This window comes from Homo sapiens, chromosome 10 (genome assembly GCF_000001405.40).
Source record: "Homo sapiens chromosome 10, GRCh38.p14 Primary Assembly".
Lineage (NCBI taxonomy): Eukaryota > Metazoa > Chordata > Mammalia > Primates > Hominidae > Homo > Homo sapiens.
The window spans coordinates 81,977,680-81,992,183 of record NC_000010.11 but is presented as its reverse complement, the minus strand read 5'-3'; the positions used below and the strand labels follow the sequence as shown (position 1 = coordinate 81,992,183).

At 36.0% G+C, this 14,504-nt stretch overlaps 1 protein-coding gene across 24 annotated transcripts in view, besides 1 other annotated feature; it reads right to left on the bottom strand.

The window, feature by feature from the left end:
* NRG3 (neuregulin 3) overlaps nucleotides 1-14,504 on the bottom strand; it is a 1,111,986-nt gene that overhangs the window by 994,996 nt on the left and 102,486 nt on the right. The gene's annotated exons all lie outside the window — the stretch shown is intronic.
* Nucleotides 13,654-13,854: a silencer, noted in NCBI's record as "peak1034 fragment used in MPRA reporter construct". NCBI's record gives its function as "represses an SCP1 promoter by STARR-seq MPRAs in K562 erythroleukemia cells {active_cell/tissue: K562}" and the evidence as "EXISTENCE:reporter gene assay evidence [ECO:0000049][PMID:32103011]".

Below are 14,504 nucleotides of genomic sequence, written 5' to 3'. Positions count from 1 at the left end.
CTATTATTTGGAACAGCTACATTGTTCACAGTTTCAATTTTCAATCAGCTTACAGTAATGAAAAAATGACAGTTTTTGCTTATATTAAGTGTGAAAGGACCCAACTTACAATGGAATTTTGTTTTCTTTGCTTGAAAATAATAATACAATAGGTATGTTTCTAATAAGAGAATCCTAGCCAAGTAAAGTAAAAACGTAAAGCATGACACTTTGTCTCAATCTAATCTCAGGAGTTTTTCTGTGACTAATGCTCAGAAACTATGATATAATATTTGTTTAATAATTATGGAAATTATTGGTTCTTGGGAATTTACATAGTTTACTCTGGAGAATAAAGAGCTACCTCTTTAAAATATTCATGGGTGATAGATATTATTTTACTTAAGAGAAAAGTAATAGCAAAATGTATACTGAATTAACTTTGTTCAGAGGTAATTATTTCTATTATTATTAAATATCATCAAATAGCAATCCAAACAAGCTAAATCATGTGTGGTTTTCATTTTGTTTTGTTTTTGTGTGGATTTTTAAAAAAAATCTCATCACAGAACTGGTAAATAGGCTTTTATATTTTAGAAAACTCTAACTTGCCATTTCCACTTTCTGAGTAAGGAAGGTTGGTTAATTATGCCTACAATCACCCATGCCTTTGGGGGACCCACACAGTGTATGCACTCCAGATTATTTCCACATTAATATTCTACCATAGACTCACATATTCACAAATCATTGTGGTTTTGTACCCTGTAAAACCACCAGATTCAGATCTCATTAACAGACTTTGAGCATGAGTGCTGAGGCAGAGTGCTTACTAGGTGCCAAGTTCTATGATCTACAATTTATACTTGTTATATCATGTAATCTTTCTCAAATCCTATGATTTTTGAGATAATAACCATTTTCTGAACAAAAAAGGATCAGAGATATTAACAAAATATAATAATGCATCCATTTGATAAAGCAAAATATGATTCTTGGAAACAATGTACATATTGAAGACAATAATTAACACTGAAATATCAGCTTGAAAGTTTCCATCAACCAGCTATATCCCATGCCCAACTCTTCCTGGTTCTATGGACATAGGTTTCAGCCCATGTCACGACATACCTGATGTGCCTTCCTTTTGCATAAATAAGTACCATGTAAGTTGAAAAGGGCAATGGAGGCTTCTCAAATTTTTGACTCAGCTTCTCACACACATTCTAGTTACAAACAAATTGCCAATTTGACTCATTTCAACCAATTTAACATTTGCAAAGCAAGAGTTTAATATGTAAACTTGCATTTTACTAGTAGGTAGAAAATACTAGGTTTATTTTTTTTAATTTTAAGCAACGGGATTTTTCTTAAGAGGAAAAAGTTACCTTGACAAATATAATTCAATTAAGTTCTACTCAAGTATTAAAGACAATATAAAAGGCATTTCAGCATAAATACCAATAATACTCTCTGTAATTGTTATTTATATGGCTGCTATAAGTCTCTTTTCCGGGAATTCCATCGAAAACCTTCCAGCATAGTAGAGTAAAAAATATGGTCATTAACATACATCTGAAATGGGTATGTCTTCAAGATACTTGCTGCTGTTAATAAACTTATCTTACTTAATTATCCTTACTGCACCAATATCTTATGGTTAGATGGCAAAAGCAGTGAAAATAAGATTAAAACAGTGAAACCAATGTGAATATGTTGCAGCCTCAAACTTCAAAATAGTTACAGTTTCTACAAGAGGATAAGTAATCTAAAGAACAATGAAACCAGTTTTCTCACATAAAATACAGATGACTTCATAAATGAACCATAAAAATATTCCCTTGGAGAAAATAGACTTAAGTATCTTTTAGATTTATCTTCAAATTCTCCACTTTTAATATGAGAGTAAACAGCCTCAGGATACATCTCCCATGTTCATCACTGCTTACTAGCATATGCATGACTAACAGTAATAAATTTGTAGAATATTCAAGTCACAAAGAAGCTTGGAAATAATCCACAGCTACTCCACCGTTTTACAGATGAGAACATTGAGATCTAAAGAGTAAAGATACGGACAATCACTTCTTAGACTACAAACTCTGTCGCAAACACCTTCTCAAGGACCATCCAAACATTCCTCTTTGCATATTTTGCCTCTTCAAACTTTCTCCAGCATCAGTCCCTTAAGTTTCATACATGATCTATAATATTCCTACTGTAAAAAATTTGCCCCCTGAACAATTAGCCTTCTCCTAATTTATACTTCATTTCTCTGCTCCTCTTCATAGTCAACCTTCTGGACAGATTTTTTTTCCATTTTTTCATTTCCTGTCCATTTTTTCACCAACTACAGTCCAGCTTCTGCAGACACATCTCCAGAGTCGCATTTTTCTCAAGGCCATCAATAACTTGTTGGTCACCAAAAGAAAAAGTTCTCACTTCTCATCTTTCTACTCAGCCTCACAGCAGTATTGACACGACTGATGCTTCCTACTGAGAGTTTTGCCCCTCTGGGCTCCTATGACCTCAAATCCAAAAATGACAGTAAGTAATCTAAAGAACCAATGAAACCAGTTTTGTCACATAAAACAATACAGATGACTTTATAAATGAACCATAAAAATATTCCCTCGGAGAAAACAGACAAATATTTTTTAGATTCATCTTCAAATTCTCCACATTTAATATAGTAAGTAAACCTCAAATCTCTCCTTGATTCTATCTCTGCATCACAGTCACTTTTGCGTTTCTTTGCTATTTCTTCTTTCTCTGTCGAGTTTCTTAATGTCAATGTACTTTAAGGTATGCGACTGGGTCCTCTTTTCTTCACCATCTATATCTTTTCCTAGGTGATCTTATACTAGATGTCTACACACTAACTCTAACTATCTATAGACTGATAACTCTTTTGCTTTAATCTCCAACTGTATACTTAGCAAGTTCACTTAGTTTTCTAATGTGCATCTCCCAACAGAACCCTTAATTTTCCACAATCCAAAAAAACTCTCCGTACTCGAAGTCTCCCAATGTAGTTAATGACAATATCCTATTCCTATAGCCAGAAATAAGGGTTGTCTTTGATTAGTCCATTTTCCCTCACCCCATCTAATATATTCAGATGTCCTATTTGATTAATTCTACCTCTGCAATATACAGAGAGTGTAATTTCATTTCTGCTCTAACCACCCTAGTCCATTCCACTATAATGCCTCACTTGCGTTACTTCAACAGTCTCCTAACTGGCCTCCCACCCTTAACTCTGTTCTTCTACCCAGCCTTTCCTTATGCATCAACAAAGGTTTTTCTTTTCCTCAAAAAAAAAAAAAAGTACATCCGGGTTTGGAAATCCATCATTGATTTATCATTGCACTTAAATAGAACCTGCATTCCTTAATGTGGGCTGCTAAGACCACAAGTTCTCTGCTCCTTATCAGCCTTCTAATAATAAAAACAAGCACTTATGTCTACTTACTGTTATATCCTATATAACACACACTTATCTGGGAAGAGACAGGACTCTACCACGAATACTATACACAAAACACTAACTCAGGGCCCATTATAACACTGTGCAACTCATGGCATATCAAATATTCTCTAGGCACCCTGACTCTCAGGACAAGCTGAGCTCAATGTATTGGATTGATATCCCATTTCTCTCACTGCATTTAATTAAGAGGGACTGGACAAAGCTTCCTGATTCATTTGATAGGGAAAATAGGTAGGCATTAGCAATAATAATAACAATAACCATGAAAACAACAAAAACCACCACTAAGAGCCATCTGTTCCTCTAATCTGGGAAAATATATCAAAGCCGGGCATGCTTAATGAGTAAATCTTGGTTTCCTCACATTTCTTACTTACAGAGGGAGGGCAGTGAGAGGCCTTAACATAGCTTTCAGAGCCTTATTTGAACTGAGTTCAAATCTTATCTCTACAAATTAACTTGCTCCATGGTAGTGGAGCTGGGCTAACTCCTACGACCTCTAGACCATTTACTTAAGAAAGCAGGATGGCAATAGTTATTTCAGAGCATTTCTGTAAATTAAATATCAAAACACTACACTATCACCTTTGGATAAGGTCAATATATTGAAATGCATTTTGGTTTTTTCTTTGTTTTCCTAGTTTATTAAATCTGCCATTTTAACCCAAATATTATCTTAGAAATTACTTACTATACAAGATTATTCTCCAACAATAACCAAAAAGTGAATCTTGTATCTTGATTCTTACCTTTGCTCAGTATTGTTGGTCATGACAATCTAAGAATGCTAGGATGGTAGAAAATATGGATATGCATAGCACCAATCTCTGGACGAAATATATCAAAAACATTTCAGTGAGCTTCCTTTAATAAAACAAACATTTTTCACTTACTTTCCCCATCCATAAAAGGCAGCTAAATTTCTTTGGATATCAAAGCTCTAAGATAAATTTAACAAGTGACTTCAAAGAGCTTATTATTAGTAGCTTCTGATAATTTCCTAGTCACATATTTTGCTCTCTCAATTGTAACTCATATATCATTTTACCAGTGTCATTCATATTGATCAACGATGCTCTTATCCAATTCCAAAGAACATTTAATCAAATTTTAACTACATTACATACCCTCCAAAAGCCATTTTGCCATTTGCCATTAGCTAGCATTTTTACACACTCTTGACTGTCATTTCTCACATCAGGTTGATTTGCTTATTTATACTGGATTGTATCAATATAGCAGTCATTGTTTCTAAAAGTTACAAAATGGGATATCGTGTCAAAAAATAAAGGTTTTATTTCTGTCAGATAATTTGTTCTTAAAAATAGGCCAGGCATGGTGGCTCACGCCTGTCATCCCAGAACTTTGGGAGGCTGAAGCAGGCGGATCACCTGAGGTCAGGAGTTCGAGACCAGCCTGGCCAACAAGGCGAAACCAGGTCTCTACTAAAAATACAAAAATTATCCGGGTGTGGTGGCGTGCGCCTGTAGTCCCAACTACTTGGGAGGCTGAGGCAGAATTGCTTGAACCTGGGAGGCAGAGGTTGCTGTGAGCCGAGATCGCGTCACTGCACTCCAGCCTAGGCAACAAGAGCTAGCAGAGCAAGACTCCCTCTCAGAAAAAAAAAAATGCACACACACACACTATGGCATCTATACAGGGTAATATAGTTTTCAAAGTTATATGTGCTATTTTTTTAAACACACAATGATGCTGTAACTATGCAATAGTAGAAATTTTATATTAAAGGTTGTGGAATCCCAGCACTTTGGGAGGCCAAGGTGGGAGGATTACTTAAGTTCAGGAGTTCAAGTTCAGCCTGGGAAATGTAATGAGTACTTGTCTCTACAAATTATAAAATAAAATAAAATTAGCTGGGAATGGTGGCATGCACCTGTAGTCAGAAGGCTGAGGCAGGAGGATCACTTTAGCCCAGTAGATCAAGATGGCAATGATCATGCCACTGTGCTCTCGTCTGGGTGACAGAGCAAGACTGCCTCAAAAAAATTAAAATAAAATAAAAAATTCAAATGAATAAGACATTGTGCCAATGAATTTATATTTTCCCTTCCTTACAAATAATTAAAAGACATGGTAAGTACAATAACCTTTATTTCCAAGTATCATTTTAATTTTGAAAGTTTTAAGGTTTTATTTGCAAAATATCATTACATAAACACAGGCGTCATTTTCACTGGATTTTTCATATTTGATTAAAATGATTTTGAGTGTCTTAGGTTTCATGATTTGTACTAAATTTTTCATTTTAAACTTTTGCCTGAAATTGACAGTGTTGCTCCTTTGTCAATATTTTTCTCAATGTTTTCACTATTTACATTTTGAAATCCTTCAGTTGAACTAAAACATACCTTTACATTTTTAAATTCATAATTTTTTCTTTTTAATAATATATCAGTTAATTTTAAGGGTACTAGTATTAAATTTACTAGAATGTTACAGTTACAAATTTGGTAATGTTCTTTCTGAAAAACAGCCTAATTTTGCAGCCTGAAACTTGACTGAAAATCTCAATACTTTTATTCATGATAGAAAAATAATTCCTGGCTTCATCTCACAATTAACTAATAATTATGTTAATATAAAATAAACTGTGCCCTTTCTTTACAGTGATGATCAAAGTGATTCTCCCAGGCCAAAAAATCAAATAAGAAGTTAATTTTAAAAAGACAAAACAAGCCATTCTACCCAGTGGGCATCTTCAGTGTACTCCCTCTACTAATTGGCTCTCTGGCACTGTGACTTACCACTTGTTGCAGTAATTTTTGCAAAGTGTGAAATGACTGATACAGATTTATGCAAATATACCTACGCTATGTTATGGTATATATTATGCTCTTCTGTTCCATTCTATGTTATTTTCCTTTATCAAAGGCTAATTGTGACCCACAAAATTGATTTGATGACCCACTCATGTGGGTGATTCATGCTATATGACACAATGGAGGATAAAGAGAAGCATTGAAAATTCACACACTTAAAACTTGGGCATATCCTATTGAAAGTATCTGCGTTACTCACAACACAATCTCTGTCATTACTTCATCTTCCTCTGCCTGCTTCCTACTCACTTTTCAATTATATCCCCAAAGGTAACTTCTCATCTCTCTCCCTGCATTAATAATCACTCGTGGAATTAGGAGTTCTTACAATAAGGAGAGACATTTTTAAGAATTGCTGGGATGTGTTAGAAATATCATTGATAGCGATTATAGACTTAAGTGATTGCAGATTTGAAATTGGTGAGAATTACAGGCTGAGTTTGGAGTTGAAAAATAAGAACACCACCATCCAGTGAACATCTCTGAAGATGAGCTTGGGCCACTTTGGCCGTCATGGCTTGGCCTAGGTCACTTTCAGAAAAGCCCATCCAGCAGCAGTGGAAAACCTTCCAGCTGAGATGGTAAAGCATATTGGATATGAAAACAAGCTCTGGAAACAGACTTTCTGAGTTCAAATCCCTTCCTAGTTGTATTAATGTTGTGCTCAGTCTCCATAACAACTTTAAAAGTGGTTATTAACAACACTTGTCTCGAAGGATTGTTTAGTGAATTAACATGAAAACCCTTAGAACAGTATTGGCTCATGGAAAGCACACAATGGATGTTAACTATTATTGTATTTATCTTCCTGTTCTCTGGTCCCTTCCCTGATATGTCTACATACATGTGTAAATCTTTGCATACTGTGTTTCCTTTGTGTTTTCTGGGCATTGTAACATATCTCCTCTAAAGCCTTTGCTATTTATGAAAAACATATTTTGAAAACACCGTTTTGTATTTTTTCACTGTTTCTTTTCTCCTGTTATTAGCACATATTTTATAATGTTACCTCCAGAAGGAATTTGCAGTTAATACATTTTATTACTTATCCTTTTGAGTCTTTTTGTATATGTATAGTAATAAAACAGGCTGCCCTGGAATGCATCTATCTCTATATCTATCTGTCTCGATAGATATAAAAGGATTTTTCAAGAAAATATATTCAAGATGCCTTTGAAACATAGAAGATAATGCAAACATTTATGTCTGTGGAAAGAGTCACAGAAAAGAAGATATTTAAACTGCCTCTTGACGAGTGAATAGGAGTTTGGCAAACAGGACAGAAGCTCATGAGGTATCACAGGATTTTAAGAAGAAAAAAGTTCGTATTTGGCTTTTATGAGAAAATTTTGGAAACAATCTGGAGAAAAGTTTGGAAGGAGTGAGGCTGAAAACAGAGATACCATTTGGAAACTGACCATAAGATTTCAAGTGGAATGTCAAGTTTCTAAATTAAGAGCATGATGCAAATACGGAAGGAAGGATTACAATTAAGATGGATAAATTAATAACAGTGGTAATAGTATGTGGGAGCAGATTGTAAAGAAGAATGTAGATAAATGATTTTGAGTGTACTGGTGATTATTAATGTGATTCTATTAGTTTCCTGTTGCTGCTATGACAAAGTACCACAACCTTCAGTGGCTTAAAATAACAAAATTTTATTATCTTGCAATTCTGGAGGTCAGAAGTTCAAAAATGGTCTCTCTGAGTTAATGTCATGGTACCAGCAAGGTTGATTCTTTCTGGGGACTTTGAAGGGAGACTCTTTCCCTGCTTTTTAGTGGCTGCCTATATTCCTTAGCTTGGGGTCCTCCACCTTTTTCAAAGTGACTCATTCCTATCTCTGCTTCCATTATCACCTTGCCACCTTCTCTTCTTCTTTGAACCTTCTTTATTTATTTTCATAAAAACAACTGTGATTATAGCAGTTCACCAGGATGATCCAGGATAATCTCCCGATATCAAGATCCTTAATCACATATTTAAATTGTTTTAGCATTAAAAGGAAACATTCACAAGTTTTGGGGATCAGGATGTGGACATATTTGAAGGGCCATTATTTAATCTACAACAGTTATAAACTGAGATTGAGTAAAACAAGAAAGATACTAAGCTTAATTGAGCTGTACAACATTTTAGGTGCCTTTATACATGGAAGAAGGTATTTCTACAAGAGGAAAAAATACTTTAAATTAGATTATGATACCCTTGGTGAAGACAACGTAAATTCACGGCTACATTAATAGCACTTAGTGTGGTGCCTAGAACACAGTAGGTAGTAATTACTTTGTCATACAAGAAATTATAAAAAAAGAGAACCAATATATCAACATTCATCCTTTAAAAGTTAATGCTAAGATCTAGGTGACAAATTGCATCACACAAAAATACATTCCAAAAGAAAACAGTCTGGCACCTAAAAGAACAAATGTCTAAATATGAGTAATTCGTGTATTAGCAATTTTGAAGCCCATCCATCAGAGAAAGCATCCCCAAGATAAAGAGGGGTGTGCTGTGAACACCATTGCGTAAGGCCATCAACATTTAAGAAAAGGAGCAATTGCTGTGCATTCCAGGTATCCTAGAACAATTTTTATTTTAATTACTCAGTTTTATCATCTGATATTCCTAGCCAAATGTGTGGTTCAGTTAATATGATCACAGACTCTATGTTCATTTATTTCCAGACATGGATAGAGTATTGGAGTGCCAGTGAATTTACAAGCAATTTAGCACTTTCCCCTGGTATGGTACATCTGTGTCCAACAGGTCTGAGAGCCGAAACCCATCAGCATCTCCACCTAACCATGGACACAGTCTACATAGCCCTCCTGACTCACTGCCCGAGACTCAGGGAAACATGGTTTTAAAATCACTAAGATGCCAGTCCTTTCACAGTGATGATATACAACAGTGTTACATGGGCTAAAGCTATGCTTCTTCCTAAGTCAAAATTCATCATTATGTTAAGCTCAAATTGTTCATTTATTGTTAAGTTACGAAACTGTCTTTCCAAAATCATATGTTGAAACGCTAACTCCCAGAATCTCAGAATGTGACTGTATTTGGAGACAGGTCCTCTAAAGAGGTGATTAAGTAAAAATGAGGCTCTTAGGGTGGGCCCTAATCCAAACTTACCGGTGTTCTTGTAAGAAGAAGAAATTTTGTAGACAAAAAAGAACTGCCATGGATGCTCAGGTGCAAAGGAAAGATCACGTGGGAACAGAGACAGAAGATGGCCATCTGCAAGCCAAGAAGAGAGGCTCAGGCTTGCTGAAACTTGATACTGAATTTCTAGTCTCCTAACCATGAGAAAATACATTTTTGTTGTCTGTGGTATTTTGTTATGGCAGCCCCAGAAAACTAATACAGATTTTGGTACCACGATGTGGGATGCTAAAGAACTGAACACCTAAAAATGTGGAAGCAGCTTTAGAAGTAATGAGTAGAGGCTGTGAGAGGTTTGAGGCACAGATTAGAGGAAGCTTAGATTGCCTTGAACAAACTTTCTGTAAAATCATGGACATTAAATGTGCTTGCTTCTGTTGTGGCCTCAGGTGAAAATTAGAAATATATTTTTTGACACTAGAGGAAAGACAACACTTACCATAAAATGGCAGAGAGATTAGCTGAACTGTGTCCCAGTGTTTTGTGGAAAGTAGAAATTGTAGGTGACAAACCTGGGTATTCAGCTGAAATAATTTCTGAGCAAAGTGTTGAAGGTACAGTCTAGTTTCTCCTTACTGCTTATAGTAAACTGCAAGAGGAAAGAGATTATTGAAGAAGAAATTGTTAAGCAAAAAGCAACCAGAACTTGAATATTTGAATAATTATCAGCTTATTCCTATTGAAAAAAAATAAAAGGTATGTTTTGGAAAGAAAACCAAGAATGTAGCTGGACAATTACTCCATAAAGAAATTATGGATGTGACTCATAGATCTAATCACTTATCTCAGCAGAAGCCAGGAATAAATATGGGCTTATATCAGCAGAAAACACTGTCGGCTTGGACTAAAGGGGACAGACATAGCCCCAAATAAAGAAAGGCTATTGGAATACCAGAATTCTACAGGATGGGAGAATTCAATATCCATTTAATCAAGTTAAATGGCTGTAAACATATGTTATCCATCATCAAGGAAATGAAAGAATGACCCCAGAAGCTATTCAGAGATTGGCGGGACTGCCACTCTCACCATGGGCCCAGGTCTGGTGGGAGGATGGAAAGCCAAGGCTGTCTCTTTCTTGATTTCAGAATGAGGGGCACCTCCTTAGCTTCAGTGGACCAGGCTGCCACTTCCCAGGATGATAGAGACAGGACTGTCACTCAAGGCATCAGAAGACGACGCTATTTCCCAGGGCTAAGGCAACATTGCTGTCCCGGTGGACCCACAAAGCAGAGCCACCACCCCAGTGGGCCTGGAGCGCAGGGCATTAAGCCAAACAGGATTACTACTGAGCCTTAATATCTAATAGAATTTAGTCTGTTACATTTGAAACTTGCTAGGGATCTATGATTCCTTTCTTCTTTCATATTTATTCCTTTTGGAATGAGAATTTTCATCCCATTCCTGTCTTAGCAATGGATTTTCAATATACGGAACTTGTACAATTTTACAAGTTCACAGCTGGAGTGAAATTCTGCTTCAGGATGAATCATACCTCAAGTCTCTCATCATACTTGATTTAGATAATATTTACATGAGTTTTGGAAGTTAGAATTGATGCTGAAATCGGTAAAGATTTTGGACTGTTGGGATTAGGGTGAATGTATTTTGCATATGAGAAGGACAGGGATTTTGGAGATCCAAAAGTCAAACGTTACGGATTTATGCTCCCTTCATGCATACATTGAAGCCCCAACCATCCATAACTCAGAATGTGACTGTATTTAGAGCAAGAGCAAGAGGTGATTAACTTAAAATGAAGTCCTTAGAGTGGGTCCTAATCCAATGAGACTAATGTCTTTATAAGAAATATGGACACACAAAAACATGCCAGAGATGTGTGTGCACAAAAGAAAAGATCATGTGAGGACACAGCAAGAAGGTGGCCATCTGCAGGCCAAGCCAGAGGTCCTCAGAAGAAACTACATCTTCCAACAACTTGCTCTTGAACTTCTAGCCTCCAGAATTGTGAGAAAAGAAATTTCCGTTATTTAAAGCACCTATTATATGATATTTTGTATGGAAGTCCTCGCAAACTAACACAAGCAGCTTGCACTCGAGCTAGCAAATGAAAATTCTGAAAACTGAGACAGATTCCATTTTGTATATAGTGTCTGTGCCCTCTTATGGAAAATTATTGCCTTGCCCCTCTCCTTAAAATAAAGATTACTTTCTTTTTCATTCTTAAAATATAGCATCTCAAAGTCATGGTTTAAATAGTAATGTTGGAAGTAGTTGGTAAATCATTGTCTTTTTTATTTGTTCAGTTTATAAGTTACTTTTACTCTTATTATCTGACTCCCCCAAAAGCCATGTGTGATGAAAGGCATTACAGATATAATAATACCCTCATTAACTGACAAGACGACTGTTTCTAAAGTTAGCTAACTTGCCCAAATTTACACATGTAATAATTGGCAGAATAAAATCTCCGATCCAAGTGTTCCAATTCCAGTCCACTGAACTTCAATAATTCATGATCAACCAAAAAAAAAAAAATCTCCAACTCCTACAAAGTACAAAGAAGCTTGAATTCTTTATCAAGATACAATTAAAGATTTGGGAAGGAAACAAAATGTTTTATATTCAAACGGAATAGATAAGTGAATGAGATCACATCCTTACTCATTTACCTATAAAATTTGTGAAACACCATGAAAGGCGATGAGGAAGTGGGGCAAAATGATGACGACTAACTTTTTTAGTAAGGGCTGGTTGGTTAACCCTTTGGCCTATGTTTACCTGTGGTCTTCTTGATTTTTTGTTCCTATATTCACTCTGAACTTGGGTGGCCAGTTTGTAAAATACACAGACAAAGCTAGACTGATTGCCTGAGTGACTGACTATAACCTGGGTTAAACTGTCTATTAATTTATTTAAAATTTTCACTTCTGATCTGGTAAAACCCATTAGAGCGGTCTTGAATGAAATACAAGTAATTTTGTAAATCCGTAATGCAGTTGCAAATGTGGCTCCTGTGTGTGTTTGTGCATGCATGTGAGTCCGTATGTATATGACTCCCTGGGGATGGCTCAGGTTGTATTTCTTTTGACTCTGCTATCAAAACATTTGGATGTAAGCTCTTATTATAAATCAAATTACTACCTACATTTGACATTGCTGAAAATAAAAACCAACAATCTAAACAAAAGGAAATTAAGTGGGACAATCTAAACAAAAAGAAAACTAGGTGGGATAAATTACAGGACAGAGGGCTGTTACCAAGATACATTTCATACTGCCTAGGCTTGCATTTCTCTTCATTTGAAACAGTTCCTTCATAGCTCTCTAGCAATGTGTGCACAATGCCTCCCAAAAATGCTCCCATTAGATATGAGCAAGATTTTAGAATTTCCTTTTATGTTATATTATTGTTAGGGTGGAAGCCATAACCTCTACAATATTTCCCATAGAGACTCTGTGGAGGAAATCAGAGATAACATTGACACAAAGTTACCTGGGGTTCCTGAATTCAGACAGACAGGAAATTTTTTTTTTTTTTTTTTTTTTTTTGAGACGGAGTCCCGCCCTGTCGCCAGGCTGGAGTGCAGTGGCACAATCCCGGCTCACTGCAACCTCTGCCTCCCAGGTTCAAGCGATTCTCCTGCCTCAGCCTCCCAAGTAGCTGGGACTACAGGCGTGCGCCACTACGCCCAGCTAATTTTTGTACTTTTAATAGAGACGGGGTTTCATCATGTTGGCCAGGATGGTCTTGATCTCTTGACCTTGTGATCCGCCCACCTCGGCCTCCCAAAGTGCTGGGATTACAGGCATGAGCCACCACGCCCGGCCAGGAAATTTTTAAAAATACATTATGGCTAGATGCTACAAAACATAAGATGCTGGGCCAGGCATGGTGGCTCATACCTATAATCCCAATGTTTTTGGAGACTGAGGCAAGAGGATCACTTGAGGCCAGCAGTTTGAGACAAACCTAGGCAACACAGCAAGACCCTATCTCTAAAAACAAAAGAAAGAAAAAAGAAAGATGCAAATATATATATATATGATATTAAGAGTTTACGAAAATAAGATCACTGTGTTAATGCTCTGATGACAATACCTAACTTTATCTTCCTATTATTTGTTTCTTCTTATCCAGGAGTATGTATAGAGAAATATACTATGGATTCAAGGATGAACTGGGAGGAGGCTATAAACAACGCTACAGTGTGGGTTAAAAACAAACTTTCTTTTTCAGAAAAAAAAATTTGCCCTGTTGGGTTGTCTTTGCCTTAACCTCTTGGCTATCTTGAAGCAAAGAAGCTGTCCAAGGTCCTGAAAGTTATAGAATGGTTTGGCATGGCTCTTCGATGTGCTTCTCAAAGCAATAGCATAAATTTTAAGAATTATGCCATAATAAAGGGCAATATTCACACCATTGAAGGAATTTATGGATAATTAACTAGTTCCTTCCCTTTAAGATATCCCACTATCAAAATCTATAACCTGTTGTCCTCTCATCCATATATCCGTATTTTCTTAATACAGATGATACTAGAGGCTGGGAGGGGTAAGGGGAACAGAGGGATAGGGAGAGATTTGTTAAATAATACACAATTACAGCTACATAAGAGGAAAAAGTTCTAGCATTCTATAGCACTATAGGATGACTGTACTTAATGATAATATATAGCTTCAAATAGCTAGAAGGAGGATATTTAAAGTTTCCAACAGAAAGAAATAACAAATGTTTGAGATGACGAAAATACTAATTGCCCTGATCTGATACAATACATGTATCAAAACATCAAAACATCACTATGTGCCCCACAAAATGTACAATTATTAGGTATAAATAAAAAATAAAAAGTAAAAGAAAAGATGATATACTATTTGCTTTGATGTCCTCCAGCTTATTTGATCCTCATAATAACTCTCTGAAATAAAAAACTGCATTTCTATTTTTACTTTCTCCATTGTATAAATGGAAAAACTAAGACTCAAATAGTATGAGGATAAGAGCATGAAATTATTTGTTTGTGGACCAGAAACGAACTTTCAAAACCACAGAGTGTTTT